This window comes from Homo sapiens, chromosome 16, assembly GCF_000001405.40.
Source record: "Homo sapiens chromosome 16, GRCh38.p14 Primary Assembly".
NCBI classification, from domain to species: domain Eukaryota; kingdom Metazoa; phylum Chordata; class Mammalia; order Primates; family Hominidae; genus Homo; species Homo sapiens.
Window position 1 is genome coordinate 30,873,981 of NC_000016.10, and position 21,247 is coordinate 30,895,227.

General features: G+C 53.0%; 1 protein-coding gene, 1 long non-coding RNA gene and 2 other non-coding genes across 13 annotated transcripts in view, besides 13 other annotated features; 2 read left to right on the forward strand and 2 right to left on the reverse strand.

Moving 5' to 3' along the window:
- The window catches only part of BCL7C (BAF chromatin remodeling complex subunit BCL7C), a 60,452-nt gene extending 40,355 nt beyond the window's left edge, over positions 1-20,097 (reverse strand). For 2 of the 8 annotated variants that reach the window (NM_001286526.2, XM_011545980.4), the window contains exons 1-5: positions 19,873-20,097; positions 19,232-19,310; positions 18,860-18,968; positions 18,606-18,767; positions 14,880-14,965 (exon numbers count right to left, since the gene is read on the reverse strand). In NM_001286526.2, coding sequence (NP_001273455.1) covers positions 14,880-14,965; positions 18,606-18,767; positions 18,860-18,968; positions 19,232-19,310; positions 19,873-19,964 — 528 coding nt within the window. In that variant the 5' untranslated portion in view covers positions 19,965-20,097. Of the gene's footprint in view, positions 1-6,243; positions 6,337-13,814; positions 14,011-14,879; positions 14,966-18,595; positions 18,768-18,859; positions 18,969-19,231; positions 19,311-19,872 lie in introns of those variants that run through there. The other 6 variants (XM_047434896.1, NM_004765.4, XM_047434899.1 and 3 more) reach the window with 6 other exon arrangements.
- Positions 8-763: an enhancer, noted in NCBI's record as "H3K27ac-H3K4me1 hESC enhancer chr16:30885309-30886064 (GRCh37/hg19 assembly coordinates)". NCBI's record gives its function as "activates a minimal SCP1, AML or CMV promoter by ChIP-STARR-seq in naive H9 embryonic stem cells {active_cell/tissue: H9 hESC(naive)}" and the evidence as "EXISTENCE:reporter gene assay evidence [ECO:0000049][PMID:30033119]".
- Positions 764-1,518: an enhancer, noted in NCBI's record as "H3K27ac-H3K4me1 hESC enhancer chr16:30886065-30886819 (GRCh37/hg19 assembly coordinates)". NCBI's record gives its function as "activates a minimal SCP1, AML or CMV promoter by ChIP-STARR-seq in naive H9 embryonic stem cells {active_cell/tissue: H9 hESC(naive)}" and the evidence as "EXISTENCE:reporter gene assay evidence [ECO:0000049][PMID:30033119]".
- Positions 1,053-1,312: an enhancer, noted in NCBI's record as "active region_10732". NCBI's record gives its function as "activates an Ori minimal core promoter by ATAC-STARR-seq in GM12878 lymphoblastoid cells {active_cell/tissue: GM12878}" and the evidence as "EXISTENCE:reporter gene assay evidence [ECO:0000049][PMID:35858748]".
- Positions 1,286-1,343, reverse strand: MIR4519 (microRNA 4519). Its single transcript, NR_039744.1, has one exon. It is a non-coding gene; the product is annotated as a microRNA 4519 (primary transcript).
- MIR762HG (MIR762 host gene) lies at positions 1,480-21,240 on the forward strand. Of its 3 annotated transcripts, none has more exons than NR_110940.1 (3): positions 1,480-2,138; positions 14,734-14,978; positions 20,568-21,240. It is a non-coding gene; the product is annotated as an MIR762 host gene (long non-coding RNA). The 3 variants fall into 3 exon arrangements; NR_110942.1 differs by lacking the exon at positions 14,734-14,978 and having other exon boundaries at positions 1,480-1,506; positions 2,050-2,138; NR_110941.1 differs by lacking the exon at positions 14,734-14,978.
- Positions 1,519-2,273: an enhancer, noted in NCBI's record as "H3K27ac-H3K4me1 hESC enhancer chr16:30886820-30887574 (GRCh37/hg19 assembly coordinates)". NCBI's record gives its function as "activates a minimal SCP1, AML or CMV promoter by ChIP-STARR-seq in naive H9 embryonic stem cells {active_cell/tissue: H9 hESC(naive)}" and the evidence as "EXISTENCE:reporter gene assay evidence [ECO:0000049][PMID:30033119]".
- Positions 1,583-1,792: an enhancer, noted in NCBI's record as "active region_10733". NCBI's record gives its function as "activates an Ori minimal core promoter by ATAC-STARR-seq in GM12878 lymphoblastoid cells {active_cell/tissue: GM12878}" and the evidence as "EXISTENCE:reporter gene assay evidence [ECO:0000049][PMID:35858748]".
- Positions 1,823-1,872: an enhancer, noted in NCBI's record as "active region_10734". NCBI's record gives its function as "activates an Ori minimal core promoter by ATAC-STARR-seq in GM12878 lymphoblastoid cells {active_cell/tissue: GM12878}" and the evidence as "EXISTENCE:reporter gene assay evidence [ECO:0000049][PMID:35858748]".
- Positions 2,193-2,252: a silencer, noted in NCBI's record as "silent region_7397". NCBI's record gives its function as "represses an Ori minimal core promoter by ATAC-STARR-seq in GM12878 lymphoblastoid cells {active_cell/tissue: GM12878}" and the evidence as "EXISTENCE:reporter gene assay evidence [ECO:0000049][PMID:35858748]".
- Positions 8,660-9,160: an enhancer, noted in NCBI's record as "H3K27ac hESC enhancer chr16:30893961-30894461 (GRCh37/hg19 assembly coordinates)". NCBI's record gives its function as "activates a minimal SCP1, AML or CMV promoter by ChIP-STARR-seq in primed H9 embryonic stem cells {active_cell/tissue: H9 hESC(primed)}" and the evidence as "EXISTENCE:reporter gene assay evidence [ECO:0000049][PMID:30033119]".
- Positions 10,965-11,044: a silencer, noted in NCBI's record as "silent region_7398". NCBI's record gives its function as "represses an Ori minimal core promoter by ATAC-STARR-seq in GM12878 lymphoblastoid cells {active_cell/tissue: GM12878}" and the evidence as "EXISTENCE:reporter gene assay evidence [ECO:0000049][PMID:35858748]".
- Positions 13,476-13,977: an enhancer, noted in NCBI's record as "H3K27ac hESC enhancer chr16:30898777-30899278 (GRCh37/hg19 assembly coordinates)". NCBI's record gives its function as "activates a minimal SCP1, AML or CMV promoter by ChIP-STARR-seq in naive H9 embryonic stem cells {active_cell/tissue: H9 hESC(naive)}" and the evidence as "EXISTENCE:reporter gene assay evidence [ECO:0000049][PMID:30033119]".
- Positions 19,054-19,686: an enhancer, noted in NCBI's record as "H3K27ac-H3K4me1 hESC enhancer chr16:30904355-30904987 (GRCh37/hg19 assembly coordinates)". NCBI's record gives its function as "activates a minimal SCP1, AML or CMV promoter by ChIP-STARR-seq in primed H9 embryonic stem cells {active_cell/tissue: H9 hESC(primed)}" and the evidence as "EXISTENCE:reporter gene assay evidence [ECO:0000049][PMID:30033119]".
- Positions 19,225-19,554: an enhancer, noted in NCBI's record as "active region_10735". NCBI's record gives its function as "activates an Ori minimal core promoter by ATAC-STARR-seq in GM12878 lymphoblastoid cells {active_cell/tissue: GM12878}" and the evidence as "EXISTENCE:reporter gene assay evidence [ECO:0000049][PMID:35858748]".
- MIR762 (microRNA 762) lies at positions 19,923-20,005 on the forward strand. Its single transcript, NR_031576.1, has one exon. It is a non-coding gene; the product is annotated as a microRNA 762 (primary transcript).
- Positions 19,935-20,414: a silencer, noted in NCBI's record as "silent region_7399". NCBI's record gives its function as "represses an Ori minimal core promoter by ATAC-STARR-seq in GM12878 lymphoblastoid cells {active_cell/tissue: GM12878}" and the evidence as "EXISTENCE:reporter gene assay evidence [ECO:0000049][PMID:35858748]".

Consider the following 21,247-nt stretch of genomic DNA (forward strand, 5'->3'; position numbering starts at 1 on the left):
AGGTATAGGTGTCAAACCTTTTTTTTTTTTTTTGAGACAGATTCTTGCTCTGTGGCCCAGGCTAGAGTGCAGTGGTGCGATCTTGGCTCACTGCAACCTCTGCCTCCCGGGTTCAAGGGATTCTCCTGCCTCAGCCTCCCGAGTAGCTGGGATTACAGGTGTGTGGCACCACATCCGTCTAATTTTTGTATTTTTAGTAGAGACAGGGTTTCACCATGTTGGCCAGACTGGTCTTGAACTCCTGACCTCAAGTGATCTGCCCGACGTGGCCTCTTAAAGTGCTAGGATTACAGGCGTGAGCCACTGAGCCCAGCCTAAATTCAATTATTAAACTCCTTGAGTTAATTAAAGGGTAGCCAGGTGCGGTGGCTCATGCCTGTAATCCCAGCACTTTCAGAGGCCGAGGCAGGAGGATCGCTTGAGCCCAGGAGTTCCAGACCAGCCTGGACAACATAGCGAGATCCTGACTCTACAAAAAACAGAAAAATTAGCCGGGCGTGGTGGCGCGTGTTTGTAGTCCCAGACACTCCTGAGGTTGAGGTGGGAGGATCACCTGAGCCCTCGGGAGGTCGAAGCTGCAGTGAGCGGAGATCGCACCGCTGCACTCCAGCCTGGGGGACAGTGAGGCGGTCTCAAAACAAAACAAAAACAAAAGGGGAGGGCGGGGGGAAGACTTAAAGACCCCTGAGCCAGGGCCATTATTATTTAACTTGGTCGGGTCTCTGAACCATTCGGAGGAAGCTTGGGTTTCTATCCTTCCCGACTGAGCCACAGACCTGAGTCTTGACTCCGGATAAATCACCCCAGACTGTTTTTCTGTCTGTGACACGGGAACGGCAGCTTCTGCCTCGCGAGGTGGAGAGAGAATGAGAAGCGCCGTGTGTGGCGCGCCTGACACGGTCAGCTCGCGGGTGGAGGCCCGGAGCAGAACGCCCTCGGGCGCCCGCTCTTGCAGCCGCACTGGAGACCGGGAATGGCTCCGGCCACGCCTCTGCCGACTGCGGCAACGCGAGGGACAGCTGGTCTCCGGGGTTGCAGCGTAACGCCCTCCTTCCCGGCCTCATCTTTCCTGACTGCATAACGGGCATACAGTGGGTTCCATGGCGCAAGGGAGCTGAAGAAGCCGCCCGCCCCCAGCTCGCCCGGGATCCTCACGCCCCTATAACGCCCCGAGGGGCCACGATGCTGCCCACAGCCCAGATCGCGAGTGCGGACCCTGCGGGAGGGTCTGGCCTAGATGCGAGTTTCCCGCCGCAGACCAGGCGAGGCCACGCGACATATCCCCTACCCGCTTACTGCAGGCCGCAGACGGAGACAGTGCAGCCCTGCGCACTGCTGAGGTTGCCCGAGGTCTCAGCCTCGGCGGGTCGGGAACACGCGGCGCGCGCCCGCGCCCCAACCGGAAGTCCGCCACCGGCCGCTCTAGCACGCGCAGGGCTGCGTCTGTGGCCTTAACCCTTCCCAAGGCTGCGCCGCCGGCCTTTGTCTCCGCGGAGCGTCACAAAGGTTGGAAGGGTCGCGGGGCCTCTGGGTGCCGAGCTGCAGATGCCTCCACTGCGAGCACAGCCCTGAGACAAGGGCCCAGGCGCCCAGCGGGGCTGGTTTCACTCAGTCCAGCCGCACCTACCCGTGCCCTCACCAGATCTTAAGATACAGACATTAAAACCTCCACCGGGCCGCGGCACAGGACAGCAGTTTTACTTTCTGTTTTTGGCATTGCATTGCCTCCATTTCCTAGAGTGCACGTAATAAATACCGCTGGTGATTCCAAAATATAAAGGTTGAAAATATTTACTTTACAAAAATTTGGTTCCCATACTGCTTTTAAGGCCATCCTCTGCACTTGGTTCCCGCTGCTCCTGATGTGGTTGAAAGATGGATGACCCCAAAGACGAGGAAAAGATTATTGGCTCCATTTTTTAGATGCGGCAGCCAGCTAAGGTCTAGACAGGGGAAGGGACTTGCCCCAAATCACAGTTAGAGCAAATCAGTCTGAATCAGGAATAACTCCATTCCTATCCCGCATCCTGCCCTTTCACTACGCCACAGCTGCCTGGCTGCCTGGAGGAACAAAGGAGGGCCGGGCAAGAACGCCATTACCAACTGCAAATCCACAGGCAAATGCAAGAGGACAGAAAGTAAGTTCTTGGGCTCTGCCCTTGTGCCGTACCCGGAGGGGTTCTGGGGTCACCAGCCAGGTGCATCCCTGCCTTCACAGCCATGCACAGCGACACCCAGTTAACTAATGGGGGGGATTATGCCACTTGCTGGGTATGCCTGTGCCACCAGTGCACTCACTCTGTGCCTGGGGAAATAACCACGGATGAATCTGGGGATCCCCTGGGCCCACTGTGAAATGGACCTGAGCTAAAACTCCATTGATCACAGGACCTCAGGGATCTTTTGGGTCTCGAGAACAGAATTGGATGCTACAGGAGAAATGTAACCAGAAAAGGATTAGGATTTTGCCAGTAGAGAAAGGGAGATGTGCTTGCTTTCATTCATTTATCATTAATGAGCACCTACTGTATGCCAGGCACCACACTAGGCCCTAGGAAGACAGAGATTATGAGACAGATGTGGCCTTATTCTAGCAGGGGAAGTGAGATGAAGGAGGTGAGAAAGAGGAAGTATAGTGACTAACCAGGGACCTGACCTAGTTTGAAGGTCAGGGAACCTTGGAGGAGGTGAAATCAAACCCAAAGCCTGAGATAAGAGAGAGAAGGGGAGGGTGGAGGGAAGGAAAGGGCTTCACAGACAGAGGGAACGGGAGTGCTAACAGCCTGGCCAGCTTCCTTGTGGTAGAAGTTCTATGCATGAGTTGGAAGAAAGCTTGGGGAAAGGGGCAGGAGAGGTGGGCAGGGGCCAAATCCAGCAGGGGCTTTTCTACCATAAGGAACTTGGTGGGAGAACTCCATGGGCAAAAACAGGTGTGGAAGGGACCAAGAAGCCCATGTGGCTGGAGGGCAGGACATGAGATGAAGATGACTAGAGCAGGGAGTGAGGAGGTGGAGAAGGTGAGCAGAGGCCAAGGCTGGGAGGCCTGAAATGCCTGGCCGCAAAACTCAGCCATTAGCCTGGAGGCCATGCAAGTGAACAGCAAGGAGGAGAGTGGAACACCAGGGAGCGGTAGGGATTGCGGGGACTGAAGGGCAGAGACTCCGCCCCCAGGGCAGTCAGTGTTCTGCACCCCCTACCCCCCTACCCCACCAACCTCCGCCCCATGACCACTCCAGGAGGCAAACTCAGTATCTCAGAATATCTGCTTTCAAGGGTAGCTGGAGTCCAGATTTCTTTTTTTATTTTTGGTAGAGACAGGATCTTGCTCTGTCGCGCAGGTTGAAGGGTAGCAACACATAGCTCACTGTAGCCTCAACTCCTAGGCTCAAGCAGTCCTCCTGCCTCAGCCTCCCAAAGTGCTGGGGTTACAGTGTGAGGCACGTCACCCGGCCTGAGTCCAGATTTTTTTTTTTTTTTTGAGACGGAGTCTCGCTCTTTCACCAGGCCCGAGTGCAGTGGCACTATCTCGGCTCACTGCAAGCTCCGCCTCCTGGGTTCAGGCCATTCTCCTGCCTCAGCCTCCCGAGTAGCTGGGACTACAGGCACCCGCCACCGCGCCCAGCTAATTTGTTGTATTTTTAGTAGAGATGGGGTTTCACCGTGTTAGCCAGGATGGTCTCGATCTCCTGACCTCGTGATCCACCCGCCTCGGCCTCCCAAAGTGCTGGGATTACAGGCGTGAGCCACCGCGCCCAGCCTAGTCCAGATTTTTATATGAAATCACTTGATTTTAATGTTGCCAACATGTTCAACACCATGTAAGCCAAACAAATCACATTCACAGGCTCACAGCTCCAAGCTTTGCAGCATGTTAGCATCACCTGAGGAGCTTGTAAAAATCCCAGGGCCCTTGGCCGGGCGCAGTGGCTGATGCCTGTAATCTCAGCACTTTGGGAGGCCAAGGCGGGTGGATCACCTGAGGTCAGGAGTTCGAGACCAGCCTGGACAACATGGTGAAACCCCATCTCTACTAAAAATACAAAAATTAGCCGGGTGTGGTGGCAGGCACCTGTAATCCCAGCTACTTGGGAGGCTGAGGCACGAGAATGGCTTGAACCTGGGAGGCGGAGGTTGCAGTGACCCAAGATCATGCCACTGCACTGCAGCCTGGGCGATAGAGCTAAACTCAAGACTCAAAAAAACAAAACAAAACAAAAAATCCCAGGGCCCAGGTTGCACATGATACCAATGTAAAATGTCTGGGGTGGGGCCGGGTGTGGTGGCTCATGCCTGTAATCCCAGCACTTTGGGAGGCCGAGGGAGACGGATCACAAGGTCAGGAGATTGAGACCATCCTGGCTAACACGGTGAAACCCCGTCTCTACTAAAAATAAAAAAATTTAAAAAAATTAGCTGGGTGTGGTGGCACGCGCCTGTAGTCCCAGCTACTCGGGAGGCTGAGGCAGGAGAATCACTTGAACCCAGGAGGCAGAGGTTGCAATGAGCCGAGATCGTGCCACTGCACTCCAGCCTGGGCGACAGAGCGAGACTCTATTTCAAAAAAAACAAAAATGTCTGGGGTGGCTGGGCGTGGTGGCTCACGCCTGTAATCCTGGCACTCTGGGAGGCCGAGGTGGGTGGATCACGAGGTCAGGAGCTTGAGACCAGCCTGACCAACATGGTGAAACCCAGTCTCTACTAAAAATACAAAAATTAGCTGGGCGTGGTGGCACGCACCTGTAATCCCAGCTACTCAGGAGGCTGAGGCAGAAGAATCACTTGAACCCGGGAGGCAGAGGTTGCAGTGAGCTGAGATCGTGCCACTGCACTCCAGCCTGGGTGACAAAGCGAGACTCCGTCTCAAAAAAAAAAAAAAAAATGTCAAGGGTAGAAGGCAGCCATCAGAATATTTAAATGATTCCCCAGGTGATTCCAGTATGCACACTACCAGAGACTACGTGCTTTCAGTTGCCAGGCTCAGCCATGGGGAGCCATGGGAAGTTTTAGAACAGGAGAGGAGCCCAGTTTAGAGTTTAAGGAAAATCATTCTGTAGGAGGAACAGAATGTAATCTTGTGTGAAAAGGGTCCGGAAGCCCCAAGGGCAGTGGCAGGATCCTGCTAGGGTGATGGTGATCAGCCATCCCAGTTTGCTCAAGACTGGGGTGTCTCCTGGGACATGGAACCTGCAGTGCTAAAACCAAGAAAGTCCTGGGCAAACAGGGATGCTTGGTCATGCTAGATTCTCCTGATGTAGTTCTGTTTTCCCAGATTTTTGGGGAGACTGATGCCACAGACTTCGCATTCTAGAAATTCCTAAGAAAAGGCTGTCCATCTCCCTGTGGTGCATTCACCTGAGTCTCTGAGCCCTGGCAGGGCCCATCTCTTCTCCACCCAGCAGAGTGATCCTGGCCTATGGAATATAATTTAGCAGTAAAAAGGAACAAACTACTGATTCACACAATAATCCGGATGACCCTCAAGAATATTAGCCTGAGTAAAAGAAAACAGATGCAAAAGAGTTACATACTGCTTAATTCTATTTACATGAAGTTCCAGAACAGGTTCACCCAATCCGTTACTTTAAAACAATCAGGCCAGGTGTGGTGGCTCACGCCTGTAATCCCAGCACTTTGTGAGGCCAGGAGGATCCCTTGAGGCCAGGAGTTCCAGACCAGCCTAGGCAACACAGAGAGACTCCCCTTCTCTACAAAAAAAAAAAAAAAAAAAACTGGGCACGGTGGCTCACATCTGTAATCCCAGCACTTTGGGAGGCTGAGGCGGGCGGATCACGAGGTCAGGAGATCGAGACCATCCTGGCTAAAATGGTGAAACTCCATCTCTACTAAAAATACAAAAAAATTAGCTGGGCATGGTGGCAGGCACCTGTAGTCTCAGCTACTTGGGAGGCTGAGGCAGGAGAATTGCGTGAACCCGGGAGGCAGAGCTTTCAGTGAGCCAAGATCACGCCACTGCACTCCAGCCTGGGTGACAGAGCGTGATTCCGTCTCAAAAAAAAAAAAATGTTAAGTAGTTGGGCGCAGTAGCACATGCCTGTGGTCCCAGCTACTCGGGAAGCTTAGGTGGATCACTTGGGCCCAGGAGTTCAAGGCTGCAGTGAGCTATGATCTAAAACAAACAAACAAAAAAAAACACTTTACCCAGTTACTTGGGGGAGGACAGACATTGTGGCATCATTAAAGTTGTTTGAACAACAACAAAAAGGCTGTGTGCATGGCTCACACCTGTAATCCCAGCACTTTGGGAGGCAGAGGTAGGTGGATCGCTTGAGCCCAGGAGTTCAAGACCAGCCTGGGCAATATGGTGAGACCCCGTCTCTGCAAAAAATACAAAAAAAAATTAGTGAGCTGTGAACATGCCACTGCACTCCACACTGGACAGCAGATCAAGGCCCTGTCTTATTAAAAAAGTCAGAACAGGCTGGGCGCGGTGGCTCATGCCTGTAATCCCAGCACTTTGGGAGGCTGAGGTGAGCGGATCACGAGGTCGGGAGATTGAGACCATCCTGGCTAACATGGTGAAACCCCGTCTCTACTAAAAATACAAAAAAAAAAAAAAAAAGTCAGAACAGCGGTTGACTCTGGGGAGTTGGAGATGAGAAGGGGGCAACGGGAACTTTCTGGCAAGTGATAGTGATGTTTTGTATTTGAGAACAGTTTCCTTATGCAGATGTATGCATTTGTTTTGTTCTGGTTTTATTTTTATTTTTATTTTTTTTAGACAGGGTCTTGCTCTGTTGCCCAGGCTAGAGTGCAGTGGTACAATCATAGCTCACTGCAGTGTTGAACTTCTGGACTCAAGTGATCCTCTCACCTCAGCCTCCCAAGTAGCTGGAACTAAAGGTGTGCACCATCATGCCCGGCTAATTTTTTTTTAAGTTTTTGTAGAGATGAGGTCTCACTATGTTGCCCAGGATAGTCTTAAACTTCTGGACTCAAATGACCTTCCTGCCTTGGCCTCCCAGTGAGCCACCGCACCTGGCACTATGCTTTTGTTAAAATTCACTGAATCAAGCAATTAACACCTATGCATTTTACTATATAGATATTTTACATCAAAGACGGGGGAAAAAACCTGTGAATGAATACTGGGCTGTAGTTAACAATGTGCCTGCAGGCCGGGTGCCGTGGCTCATGCCTGTAATCCCAGCACTTTGCAAGGCCCAGGCGGGTGGATCACCTGAGGTCAGGAGTTCAAGACCAGCCTGACCAACATAGTGAAACACTGTCTCTACTAAAAATACAAAATTAGCTGTGTGTGGTGGCGAGTGCCTGTAATCTCAGCTATTTGGGAGGCTGAGGCAGGAAAATCGCTTGAACCCAGGGGGCAGTGGTTGCAGTGAGCCGAGATTGCACCTCTGCATTCCAGCCTGGGTGACAGAGTGAGACTCCGTCACACACACACACACACACACACACACACACACAACAAAAAATTAGGAACAAAACCTAAGTCTGATTATGCTTTTCTGCTCAGAACACTCCACGATACCCAGAGGAAAAGCCAAGTCTTGACAGTGGCCTCTGAGCAGGGCGACCATAAGTTCTGCTGGCCCAGCTTCTGCCTGCCTTCCCAGCGTGATTAGTACTGCCCTTGTTTTCATTCTCCCAGTGTGAAGGATAATTTAAGTGCTTGCCCTGCCTGCGAGGCCCAGCTGACCTGAACTCACTCCCCTGCCCCTCCCTCCCTCCGCTCCAGTCACACTGGCTCTCCTTTGCCCTGGCCATTCCCTCTGCCTGGAATGCCCTTCCCCAGAAACTTGCAAGGCTCTCTCCCTCACCTCCTTCCAGCTTTTCTTCAGCCTTTGCCTCAGTGAGGCCCCTGCCTCGCCCCCGCTTAAAATCACACCCTGCTCTCTCCCCATCTCCCGTTCTGTGCTTGCTTTTTCCAGCGCACTCTAACTTCCTGCTTAGGATATAACTGCCTGAAGGCAGGTGCCATGAGGGCAGGGATTTTTTTTTTTCCTGTGTTCTTTTTTTTTTTGAGACAGAATCTCACTCACCCAGGCTGGAGTGCAGTGGTGCGATCTCGGCTCACTGCAACCTCCGCCTCCAGGGTTCAAGTGAATCTCCCATCTCAGCCTCCCGAGTAGCTGGGATTATAGGCACCCACTACCAGGCCTGGCTAATTCTATTGTATTTTTAGCAGACATGGGGTGTCACCATGTTGGCCAGGCCGGTTTTGAACTCCTGACCTCAGGTGATTTGCCTGCCTCGGCCTCCCAAAGTGCTAGCCACCACGCCCGGCCATTTATTCTGTGTTCTTTAAGCTGCATCCTCAGGTCCTAGAACAGTGCCCAGCAAACAGTAAGTACACAATAAGTACCTATTGCTATGAATAAAGGGAATCCTCTGCCCTCCTGGGGCTTGCAGGCTGGTGCTGAAGAACCAAGCAGACAGGGACCACTACAAAGCAACAGCCACCACTTCACGACATAGCAGAGGAGGGGTCAGGGGCTGAGGGAAGGCAGAAGAGACACCCCAGAAGCTGAGACTTGAAAACTGCTTTGGCATCTGCCAGGCGAAGAGGGGAAGGGAGGGGCTTTCCTGGTGGAGCAGCCAGTGTGAGCAAAACCCAAGGGGTGAGAGATGGCAGCAGGCATCTGGGGGCTGTGAGCAGTTCAGAGAGTGACTGCAGGTGTGGGTATGCAGCAGGCTGTGGGCTCCATCCTGCAGGTAGTAAGGACAGGAAGGTTCTAACTGGGGGCAGTGGCATGGACAGATTTGGGTTTCTGAAAGATTGCCCAGCTACTGGGTGGAGCATGGATTGGAGGTGGGCACCAGGAGGCTGTTAGTTTTGCTGGCACCTAGTAAAGCAGTGTTGCCCTGAAGAAAGGGGCTAACTGGAAAATTACTTAAGACAGAGACCTAACAGGACGTGGTGGTTCCTGGAAGGTGACTCTGACTTCTGGTGTCACCATCTTGGCTGGCTCCTGGGATGGTAGGAATAGGTTGTGGGGAGGATGAGGCTGGGGTCTCTGGGATATCCCAATGGAGATGTGATGCAGCCATTTGGCTCCTGGAGTCTGGAGGTGGGGGTGGAACTTAGAGTCAGAGAATGAGGAACTGTTGATTCAAAGGGCAGGTGGGACCCAGCAGGGAGAGTGTGCACAAAGAGAAGCAAGTCCAGGGCAAGAGACAGTTCCCAGACCAGGAAGAGGGGAGTGCCCAAGGACAGATGAGGGCTCAGAGGGGAGGAGTCAGTGAGCCCCAGAGGTGGGGCCCGAGAGCCAGGGGTAGAAGGATTTCCACAAATAGAGTGTGGAATTTGGGGAGGAGGTGGAAAGGGGAGACAGCAAGGTGGTAAATAAGGGCTGTGGCTCTGGAAGAGATAGCTTTTTAAATTTACCATGTTCACTGTTTTTTTTAAGATACAGGGTCTCGTTCTGTCATGCAAGCTGGAGTGCAGTGGCACAGTCATATCTTACTGCCGCCTCAACCTCCTGGGCTCAAGCGAGCCTCCCGCCTCAGCCTCCCGCCTCAGCCTCCCAAAGTGCTGGGATTCCAGGTGTGAGACACCATATCCAGCCAAACTGGCTTTTTTTTTTTTTTTTTTTTTTTTTTTTTTGAGATGGAATCTCACTCTGTTGCCCAGGCAACCTCCGCCTCCCACGTTCAAGTGATTCTCCTGTCTCAACCTCCTGAGTAGCTGGGACTACAGGCATGCACCACCATGGCTGGCTAATTTTTGTATTTTTAGTAGAGACAGGGTTTCACCGTGTTAGCCAGGCTGGTCTCGAACTCCTGACCTCAAGTGATCCGCCTGCCTTGGCCTCCCAAAGTGCTGGGATTACAGGTGTGAGCCACCACGCCAGGCCCAAACTGGCTTTTAAACCAGGTCAAAGTGCCGGGCGCAGTGGCTCAGGCCTGTAATCCCAGCACTTTGGGAGGCCAAGGCGGGCGGATCACGAGATCAGGAGATCGAGACCATCCTGGTTAACACGGTGAAACCCTGTCTCTACTAAAAATACAAAAAATTAGCCGGGCGAGGTGGTGGGTGTCTGTAGTCCCAGCTACTTGGGAGACTGAGGCAGGAGAATGGCGTGAACCTGGGAGGCGGAGCTTGCAGTGAGCCAAGATCACGTCACGGCACTCCAGCCTGGGCGACAGAGCGAAACTCCGTCTCAAAAAAAAAAAAAAGCCAGGTCAAAGAATGGGGCATGAGAGGGTGGGGGCATGCCTGGGGGGAATCAGGACAGTTTCCTAGGCCCCGTGACCAGGAGAGAGTCAAGAATGGGGGAGACTCAAACTTTAGCTTCTCAAGGCTGCTCAGAAATGGACACCCTGTCTGGGGCCAGGCTTCTGTCCCCAGCCTCAGGGACAGGAGAGTCTCTGGTAACCTCATTTGTAACATGGGGCAATAGGACAAAACCTGCCATTTATTGAGCACTTACTACGTCCCAGGCCAAAGGCTGTCTCTCCATGTGTGGCCTAATTTAACTCTCAGAATACTCTCATCAGGCTGATGTCACTATTATCTCCTATCTCCATTTGTTTTTTTTTTTTTTTTTTTTTTGAGACAGAGTCTCCCTCTTTTGCCCAGGCTGGAGTGCAATGGCGTGATCTTAGCTCACTGCAACCTCCTCCTCCCGGGTTCAAGAGATTCTCCTGCCTCAGTCTCCTGAGTAGCTGAGATTACAGATGCCCCGCAACCATGCCCAAGTAATTTTTCTATTTTTAGTAGAGACAGGGTTTCACCATGTTGGTTAGGCCAGTTTTGAACTCCTGACCTCAGTAATCCAACCACCTCAGCCTCCCAAAGTGCTGGGATTACAGGTGTGAGCCACCATGCCTGGCCTATTATCTCCATTTTATAGATGAGAAAACAGATGCACAGAAAGGTTCAGTCACTTGCTCAAGGTGATACAACAAATGAATGCAGATGCTGAGATTCAAACCCGGAACCTGAATTCTGAGCTTCAACACTGCACCACTAACCCACACAAGGGACTTTCCCATTTACAGAACACTCTCCTCCCTCGGGAGTGGTTGAGGGGAGTCATGAGGTGGCCACACACCCAGCAAACAGCCGACATTACCATGAAGATGGCCCTCCAAAGAAGTCCACATCTGAATCCCCAGAATCTGTGCATGTGTTGCTTTATATGGCACATGGGCTTTTGCAGGTGTGATGAAACTAAGGATTGTGAGATAGGAAGAGTGTCCTAGATTATTCAAATGGGCCCAGTGTCATCACAGGGTCCTTGGAGGAAGGAGGCAGGAGAGTTAGAGAAGATGTGACGATGGAGAGAGATTGGAAGATGCTACACTGCAGGTAGCCTCTAGAAGCCGGAAAAGGCAAAGAAAGAGATCCTCCTCTGGAGGGAACTACTGCTGAGACCTTGACTTTAACCCAGTGAGACTAACTTTGGACTTCTCCAGAACTGTAAGAGAATCAATGTCTGTGGCTTTTTCTTTTTTTTTTTTTTGAGATGGAGTCTTGCTCCATCACCCAGGCTGGAGTATAGTGGTGCGATCTCGGCTTACTGCAACCTCCCGGATTCAAGCAGTTCTCCTGTCTCAGCTTCCCGAGTAGCAGGGATTACAGGCGCCCGCCACTATGCCCAGCCAACTTTTGTATTTTTAGTAGAGACGGAGTTTCACCTTGTTGGTCAGGCTGGTCTCACACTCCTGACCTCAGGTGATCCACCCACCTCGGCCTCCCAAGGTGCTGGGATTATAGGCATGAGCCACTGTGCCTGGCTAATGTCTGTGGCTTTGAGCCCCTATATGTGTGGCAATTTGTTACAGCAGTGATAAGAAACAGTTACACTACATTGCAGCAAGCCTGGCTTCCCTGGACAGCACTGGCTCCACCAACACCACTGCAGCTGCTGTCGGAAGCATCCTTACATTTCCTTTGTTTGTTTAGACACAGGGTCTTGCTTTGTTGCCCAGATTTGAGCACAGTGGTGCAATCATCACTCACTGCAGCCTCAACTTCCCGGGCTCAAGCAATCTTCCCACCTCAGCCTCCCAAGAAGCTTGGACTACAGGCGCGCACCAGTATGCCTGGCTAATTTTTTCATTTTTGTCTTGCTTTGTTGCTCAAGCTGGTCTCAAACTCCTGGCCTCAAGCAGTCCTCCCACCTGTGCCTCTCAAAGGCCTGGGATTACAGGTGTGAGCCACCACACCTAGCCTACAGTTTTTAATGCTTCTTTAAAGTTCCAATTTGGTCCTCTCTGAACCTCAGTATCTTTCTTTATTAAAAATAAAAATAGGGCCAATATACATGACCCTATAGGCACAGAGTGAGAGGGCCTTATATTACTCGAAGCTTCCCACAAACCCCTGGGGCAGATGAGGCCTAGTTATTGTTCCCATTGCTCAGATGAACAAACTAAGGCTGAGAGTAGAAACAGCCTGCCTAGAGCCACTCAGGGAGTAACAGAGCCAGGACTTGAACCAGGGCTTCTGACTTGAGTTCTAGCACAGAGGTTCATGTCTCAGAGCCCAGCTCACATGCCACCTCCTCAGAGAAGCCTGCCTGGAAAACCCCAGCCCATTCATGTATTCATTTATTCATGAAGCAGCTGCTGGGACTGCCCTGTTCCCAGTGTTGTGTGGAGACCCCTCAGGAGCCCACAGCCTCGTAGACAAGACAGACACACAAACCACGGATCCCAGAACAGCCTGATAAATGATGAAACAAGGAGAATGAAGCCCAAGGGGTTGCTGGAGCTCAAAAAAGGGGAAACTCACTGAGCCTGGAGTCAGGGAAGGCTTCTCGGAGGAGATGGTGATTGAGATGGGGATAAGTTAGACCCAACCAGAAGTGTGGCCAGGCATCCCAGGTGGAGGAGTGGCTTCTTCAGGGCAGGGAATGGGTTGGTCATCCCAGGCCCCCAAGTCCCTCTGGGCCTCTGTGTTATTATGTATGAAACGTGAATAGGCTGGGCGCGGTGGCTCACGCCTGTAATCCCAACACTTTAGGAGGCCAAGGCAGGAGGAACACTTGAGCCCAGGAGTTCAAGACCAGCCTGGGCAATGTAGCGAGACCCCATGTCTACAAAAAATAAAATTAGCAGGCTGGGCATGGTGGCTCATGCCTGTAATCCCAGCACTTTGGGAGGCCGAGGCGGGCAAATCACTTGTGGTCAGGAGTTTGAGACCAGCCTGGCCAACATGGCAAAACCCAGTCTCTACTAAAAATACAAAAATTAGCCGGGCGTGGTGGCAGGCACCTCTAATCCCAGCTACTCAGGAGGCTGAGGCAGGAGACTTGCTTGAACCCAGGAGGCAGAGTTTGCAGTGAGGCGAGATTGCGCCATTGCACTCCAGCCTGGGCAACAAGAGCAAAACTCTCTAAAAAAAAATAGTGATAAATAAATAAATAAATAAATAAAATTAGCTGAGTATGGTGGCACACACCTGTGGTCCCGGCTACTTGGGAGGCTGAGGTGGGATGTCAAGGCTGCAGTGAGCCATGATCGCACCACTGCACTCCTGCCTGGGCAACAGAACAAGTCTGTGTCTCAAAAAAAAAAAAAAAAAAAAAAGAATCATGGCCTAGCTACCCAGAGTTTTGATAATTGTTAGGCCCAGGCGAGGGCTGAGCAGGAAGAGGGGTCCTGGGCCTCCCAGAGGAGGAGGTGAAGGTCGGGAGATAGGACAGACCTGGGAAGTACTGAGAGGCAGGGTCCTGGCTCAAGCCCCCACCCCACTCTGCCTTGTGGTGTCACTACAGGAAGGTCCTCTCAGAGCCTCAGTGACCACATCTGAGCAATGGTGCATGAGACAAAACTGTCTCCAAAGACCCTCCCCAGCCCTGACGGGGAAATGACATGACACAAAATTACAAAAGGGTCTTTATTTGTAAAAAGCCAAAGGGGCCCCTGGGGCAACAGGACAGGCAGGCCGGCTTCTCAGGGGTCAGGGGCATTTGGGCAGATGCGCTTGAGTGGGGGGGCACCCTCCGAGTCCTCTGTGTCACCCTGGGCTGCCTCAGGGACAGGTGGCACTGGCTCAAAGACAGGGTAAGCTTCGGGGGCCTGGAGAGGAAGGGTGGACAGGCGTGAGCTCCACAGAACCCAGGCGTCCAGCCTCTGAGCCTCTGCCTTCTCCAAAGCCTCCACTCCCCTCCCCTCCTGGGCCCGGGAGGCAAGCCCAGGGCCAGATGCCCAGGATGCAGAGGAAGCAGGCACCAAAAACAACAACGACAGTGACACTGTGTGGAGGAACGAACCTGATATTTGATATTTCTGAAAATGCCTCGAGGTAGCCTCGTGAGAAATGTCAGAGGTTTATAAGGAATTTTCTTATGCTAATTATACAGTTAGATATTTTTTGATATTTTTTGAAAATGCATGGAGGAGCGCCATGATTTTGTCAGGCTTTATTTATTTATTTATTTTTGAGAAGGAGTCTCGCTCTGTCACCCAGGCTGGAGTACAGTGGCGCGATCCTGGCTCACTGCAGCCTCCGCCTCCCGGGTTCAAGCAATTCTCCTGCCTTAGCCTCCCGAGTAGCTGGGACTACAGGCACGTGCCACCACGCCCGGCTAATTTTTGTATTTTTAGTAGAGACGGGGTTTCACCGTGTTAGCCAGGATGGTCTCGATCTCCTGACCTCATGATCCACCCGCCTCCGCCTCCCAAAGTGCTGGGATTACAGGCGTGAGCCACCACGCCCAGCTTTGTCAGGCTTTTAATGGTCTCAATCAGCCCTGATCCAGCCCTCAGCACTTTGTCTCTGAAACACCCTTTCTTTTTCAGTCCCAAGAACCCAGCCCCTAAGCCTTCAGCTCTGTCCCAGGTCTGCCTCTCCTCCAGGCCCTCAGGACGCAGGCTCCAAGCCTTCGACTGCCCAGATCCCCCATTCCCTCCAAGACCCAGGAGTCCAGCCTTCTGGCCTCTCTCACCTCAGCTTCCAGCAGTTCTGGAACAGGCTCCTCCTTGGTCAGCATTGGGGGTTCGTCGGTGCTGCCAGCAGTTATGCCCCCGGGATCTGGAACGTCAAGGTAACAAACATCCCCTGAACAGCCACTCTGTGCCAGCAGCACAGACAGTGGGGGAAACAGATGGTCACAGGCCCCAGTCACAGAGGGCAGAGGGCCATGGGAGCAGAGAGGAGAGAGCAGGAACCTGGCTGTGCCCCAGGAAGCAGAGGAGGGAACACTGATGTGGGAGCTCGAGGGTGATGCGGTGGACAGGAAAGTATGACACGTGAGACAGAGGGAATGCATGCTAAGTTGCCACAGATTCTGGGCTTGGACTGCCTGGGTTCAAATCCTGACCTTGGGCCAGCTACTTCATTTCCATGGGCCTCAGTTTCCCCATCTGTAAAATGGGGATAATGATAGTAATTACCTCATGTGGCTGTTGTGAGGGTCAGATGAGCGGATGCAGGTAAAGCACAGTGGCTGGCACACAGTAAGTGCTCAATAAATGCTTGCTACCATTTTTATATTAGCAAAGGTATACAACTGCTTGGCACTGTCTAGACCCAGACCCAGTCCACAGGCCCACATCAGGGTTTTCTTTTTGTGTGTTTGTTTGTTTTAGTTTTTGAGACAGAGTCTCGCTGTGTCCCCCAGGCTGGAGTGCAGTGGCGCGATCTCGGCTCACTGCAACCTCCGCCTCCCAGGTTCAAGTGATTCTCCTGCCTCAGCCTCCCTAATAGCTGGATTACAGGCATGTGCCACCACGTCCCGCTGATTTTTTGTATTTTTAGTAGAGACAGGGTTTCACATTCTGGGAGGCTGAGGCAGAAGGATCGCTTGAGCCTAGGAGTTTGAAACCAGCCTGGGCAACATAGTAAGACCCTGTCTCTATAAAGAATAACAACACTAATTAGCTGAGCATGGTGATGCATGCCTGTAGTCCCAGCTACTCAGGAGGCTGACTGAGCCCAGGAATCCAAGGCTGCAGTGAGCCGTGATCACGCCTCTGCATTCCAGCCTGGGCGACAGAGTGAGACCTTGTCTCAAAAAAAAAAAAAAAAAAGCAAAGCTTAAAAAATGAAGGAAAAAGTTGTTCTGGCAGCTGTGTGGAGGTGACTAGAAGAGACCAGCTGGAACCAAAAACGGGTGAGAAATGGGAAGGCCAGGGACAGGGAGCCTAGGAGGAAGAGGTGCCAATCAGACGGGTTTGACTGCATGGAAGAAAGCAGAGCTGGCTGGGCACGGTGGCTCAAGCCTGTAATCCCAGCACTTTGGGAGGCCGAGGCAGGTGGATCACGAGGTCAGGAGTTCAAGACCATCCTGACCAACATGATGAAACCCCGTCTCTACTAAAAATACAAAAATTAGCCGGGTGTGGTGTTGTGCAGCCTGTAATCCCAGCTACTCAGGAGGCTGAGGCAGGAGAATTGCTTGAACTTGGGAGGCGGAGGTTGCAGTGAGCAAGATCGTGCCACTGCACTCCAGCCTAGGTGACAGAGTGAGACTCCATCTCAAAGGAAAAAAAAAAAGCAGAGCTGATGAGGACACAGGCCCAAGATGCTGGCTCACTGGCTGAGTTACTTCTCTGGGTCTCAGTTTCCTCATCTATAAATAGGGATCATAACAAGATCATCACCCTTATAAGGTTGTAGTAAAAATTAAATGAGAAAAAAACACGTAAAGTGTTGGCTGGGCACGGTGGCTCACACCTGTAATCCTAGCACTTTGGGAGGCCGAGGCGGGCGGATCACCTGAGGTCAGGGGTACGAGACTAGCCAGGCCAACATGGTGAAACTCCATCTTTACTAAAAATACAAAAATTAGGCCAGGCACGGTGGCTCACGCCTGTAATCCCAGCACTTTGGGAGGCTGAGGCAGGCGGATCACCTGAAGTCGGGAGTTCGAGACCAGCCTGGCCAACATGGAGAAACCTCGTCTCTACTAAAAATACAAAATTAGCGGGGCATGGTGGTGCATGCCTATAATCCCAGCTACTCGAGAGGCTGAGGCGGGAGAATCGCTTGAACCCGGGAGGCAGAGGTTGCGGTGAGCTGAGATTGTGCCATTGCACTCTAGTCTGGGCAACAAGAATGAAACTCTGTCTCAAAAACAAACAAACAAATAAACAAAAAAAACAAAAATCAGCCGGGCATGGTGGCATGCCTGTAATCCCAGCTACATGGGAGGCTGAGGCAGAAGAATCGCTTGAACCTGGGAGGCAGAGTTTGCAGTGAGCCAAGATCGTACCACTGCTCTCCAGCCTGGGCAACAGAGCAAGACTTCATCTCAAAAAAAAAAAAAAAAAAGGCTGGGCGTGGTGGCTCGTAATCCCAGCACTTTGGGAGGCCAAGGCGGGCAGATCACCTGAGGTCAGGCGTTTGAGACCAGCCTGGCCAACATGGCGAAACCCCAACTCTACTAAAAATACAAAACCAGCCGAGCATGGTGGTTCATGCCTATATTCCCAGCTACCCAGGAGGCTGAGGCAGGAGAATTGCCTGAACCCAGGAGGTGAAGGTTGCAGTGAGCCAAGATTGTGCCGTCGCACTCCAGCCTTGGCAAGAGCGAAACTCTCTCAAAGAAAAGAAAAAGAGAAAAGAAAAAAACCCAACCACGTAAAGTGTTTACCAGGGCACCTAGCACACAGTAAGAGCTCAATAAATACTAGCTGTTGTTATTCCTATTATTGTTAATCACCCCTATGACTATCACTATTATTTATTCACTCAACAGATATTTACTGAGCACCTACTATGTGTCCCATATTATTCTGAGGATACAGTAGTGAACAAGATCACATAGGGCCAGGCACAGTGACTCACGCCTATAATCCCAGCACCTTGGGAGGCTGAGACAGGAGGATCATTTCAGGCCACGAGTTCAAAACCAACCTTGGCAACATAGCGAGACCCTACCTCTACAAAAAATTTAAGAATTGGCTGGGCATGGTGGCACACACCTGAGTCCCAGCTATTTGGGAGGCTGGGGCCAGAGGATCCCTTGAGCCCAGGAGTTTGAGGCTGCAGTGAGCTATGATTGCACCAGAGTACTCCAGCGTGGGTGACAGAGACCTTGTCTCTAAAAAAAAGGGGGGGGAGGGCCGGGTGTGGGTGTGATGGCTCACACCCGTAATCCCAGCACTTTGGGAGGCTGAAGGTGGAGGACTGCTTGAGCAAGTGAGTTTGAGACCAGCCTGGGCAACATGGTGAAACCTTATCTCTACAAAAAATACAAAAATTAGCCAGGTGTGGTGGCATATGCCTGTGGTCCCAGCTACTTGGGAGGCTGAGGCGGGAGGATCGCTTGAGCCCAGGAAGTTCAAGGCTGCAGTGAGCTATGATCACACCACTATACTACTCCAGCCTGGGTGACAGAGCGAGACCCTTTCTCAAAAAAAAAAAAAAAAAAAAAAAAAAAAAAGGATCAATATGGGCCCAACATTCAGGAAACTGACATGAGAGTGAGGAGAAAGATAAACTAGTAAAAAATTAATTTACATGAAAATCTCAGACAGTGATATGTCTGTATAGATTCTAAGAGACCAGAGGAATGAGACTGTAGCTACAGGGAGATTCTGCAGGAGTCGGAAGGCGCCTTGAGGAGGGTGCACAAGACGGGGAGCAGGTATAGGGATGAGCTGGTAGGTTAGACTCTGGAGAAGACAGGACTTAGAGGAGAGAGCTCCTGGGAGGTACCTGGTCCTACCTCTCTCTTGGCCCAGCCGTGGGGGCTGAGCCTCCTCAGGGACCCCTTCTGGGGGTCCGGCAGGTGACACAGGGCGGCTGGGCTGGGGGGTGCCCCCAGGACTGGGCTCTGTGCCCTTTTGCAGGGAACCTTCCGAATGGAAACTCTGGTTGCTGTTCTCATCTGCGGGAGCAAGAGCCGAGATGGTTGGCCTGAGATCCCTAGTACACTCCTTCAGTCCCCACAGCCCCCCGCGTTTCAGGATCCCTACCTACCATTAAGATCCAGCAGGATGAGAGGGCCACCCCCTCGGGGACTGGCGCCCCTGCCCCGACGTTCCCGGCCACGGGATCTCTCTGCCCCGCCACCTGCCCGCCTTCGCTCCTGGGGGTTAGAGGATTAGGGTCAGAGCTCTTGGAAAGCCCCACCATACACCTAAGGAAACTGAGGCACTGAGAAGCAAAAGGGCTCAAACTCAGGGGGTGTGGAGCAGAAAAGAGGGCAAAAGGGGAGGAGCTGCTAATGATGGTTCCCGTCTGTCCTGCTGCATCTGAGGTCTCGGGGAGCTGGAGGTAGAGGTCAGCGTGGGGAGGAACTTGCCTGAGGTTGCACAGATGCAGGGCCTTGTGGGAATGGGGGTTGCTCACCTCCTCCTGGGGATCCACCACTGGCACCCACTTGAAGATACGAAGGGAAGTGTCGCCCACAGTCACCCATCGCTTCTCCCTGTGGGAGGGTGGGGGGCTGGGTCAGAGAGGCCTGAGGGGAGACCCACCCCCCTAGGAGCTGGACACATCTGGGGGTACCTGCAGAGGTTGAGGAGGCACAGGAGGATAGCAACAGTTTTGCTAATGGGGCATAGTTACATGGAGGAAGAGAGTCCTGCAAACCCCAGGGCATAGGCGGTGGGTGCCTCTAGAGAGAGGATATGATTTGGGGCCCTGGCTCTGCGGACCCCTGGGGCACACATGGGGGGCGTGGCTATGGGCCTGGCCCGGGATCAGAGCCCTGCAGATCCTGGGGCGCACCTGCAGGAGGGGTGTCAAAGCTTTAGGGGGCGGGGCACAAGAGGGGGCTCCCGCTCTGGGAGGACACGGCTGGGGATCACGCTTTGTAGACCCCCAGGAGTAGCCAGGCGAACGGGGACAGAGCCCTGTGGATCCAGGGCAAAGCTAGTGGGTGGAGATACACCGAACACCCGGGGCCCAGAGCTGGCGAGGGCAGCGTAGACGCCTTTGGTGCTGGTGGTCCCGCTGTGTCCCGTCCCTGGCCCCCGAGCAGCGCTCACCATCTCCGGACCTTCTCGATGGTCGCCATCACCTTCTTGATGTCATCCTTGGCCCGGCTCCGGGTCTCGGCCCGTACAGTCCGGCCGGCCATGCTGGCGGGGCTGGGGCCGGGGCCGAGCCCGCGGCGGGGCCGCCTCCCGTCCGGCGGGCTCAGGCTCCGCGCCAGGCCCGGGCGCCGCGCTCTCGGCCTGCCGTCCCCCCTGGAGTTGGCCGCGCCCTCTCTCGTCCCCAACGCCTCCGCAAGTCCCCGCCCCGTTTCCTGCCGCCGCGCCCCGCCCCGGCCTGTCCCCGGAGCGGCCCGGTGGCGCGGGCGGCCAGAGCCCAGGCCTGGAAGCCCGGCCGGCCCCGCCCCGACCCGGGCCCGCCCCCTTGGAGCGCCTGGACGCTCAGCGCCCCCTGCCCGCCGCCGAGAGCGGGAGTTGGGGACGGACGCGCGAGTTGGGGACGGAGAGCGGGAGTTGCGACCGGACGCGCGAGGCAGGGCCGAGGCCGTGTGTTCAGACCACGTGGGCGCGGGGTGCGCGACAGGGTCTGTGTCCTGCGCTGCGTGAGCCGCGGTGGGTGTCCGCGAAACGCTGTGTGTGGAGTGCGTGCGTGTGTCCGCCCTCGCCAGGCTGTTGGTCTACACCGCCCAACTTACTCAGTCATCCATTCATTCAACAGTCTTGTTAACTGAGTGCCAATTACGCTCCAGGCGCTGCGAATACGAGTGGGTCTCCACCACCAGAATGGCTAAAGTGAAAAAGACCGCACCGTGTGGAGGCGAGAAAGTAGAGCGACTGGACCTCTCTTGTATTTCTGGGGGAGTGTAAATTGGTAGAGACATTTTGGAAAACTGGCAGTTTTCTAATGAAGCCGAACATATGCCACCTCTGTGATCCAGCAGTTCCACTCCTAGGCTGTCAACACCCAGCAGAAATGTGTAGGTGTGAGCATCAAGAGGGTGCATGGGAATGTTCAGAGCCCTTTCATAACAGCCCCAAACTGGAAATAACCCATCAACAGAATGGAAAATGAATGATGCCCTACTCACTACCATGCACATAGACACAGCAACGGGATTGACATGCCCGGCTACACACAGCAACATAGACAAGTCGCATGATGAAATCTTGAGTGACAGAAGCCAAATGCAACAGTACATACTAGATGGTTCCAGGTGTATTACGTTCAGAACCAGACAAAACTAATTTATAGTGCACCAAAGTCAAGATAGTGATCGCCCTTAGGGTTGGGAGGGGACGAGGGGAGAGCTTCTGGGAGCTGATCCAGTTCTGTTGTGTAATCTGGTGCTGGTTCCCTGGGCATATGTATTCTGTGAAAATCCATCACATGACTTAAATAAAATGTACATTACTTAAATAAAATGAGTGT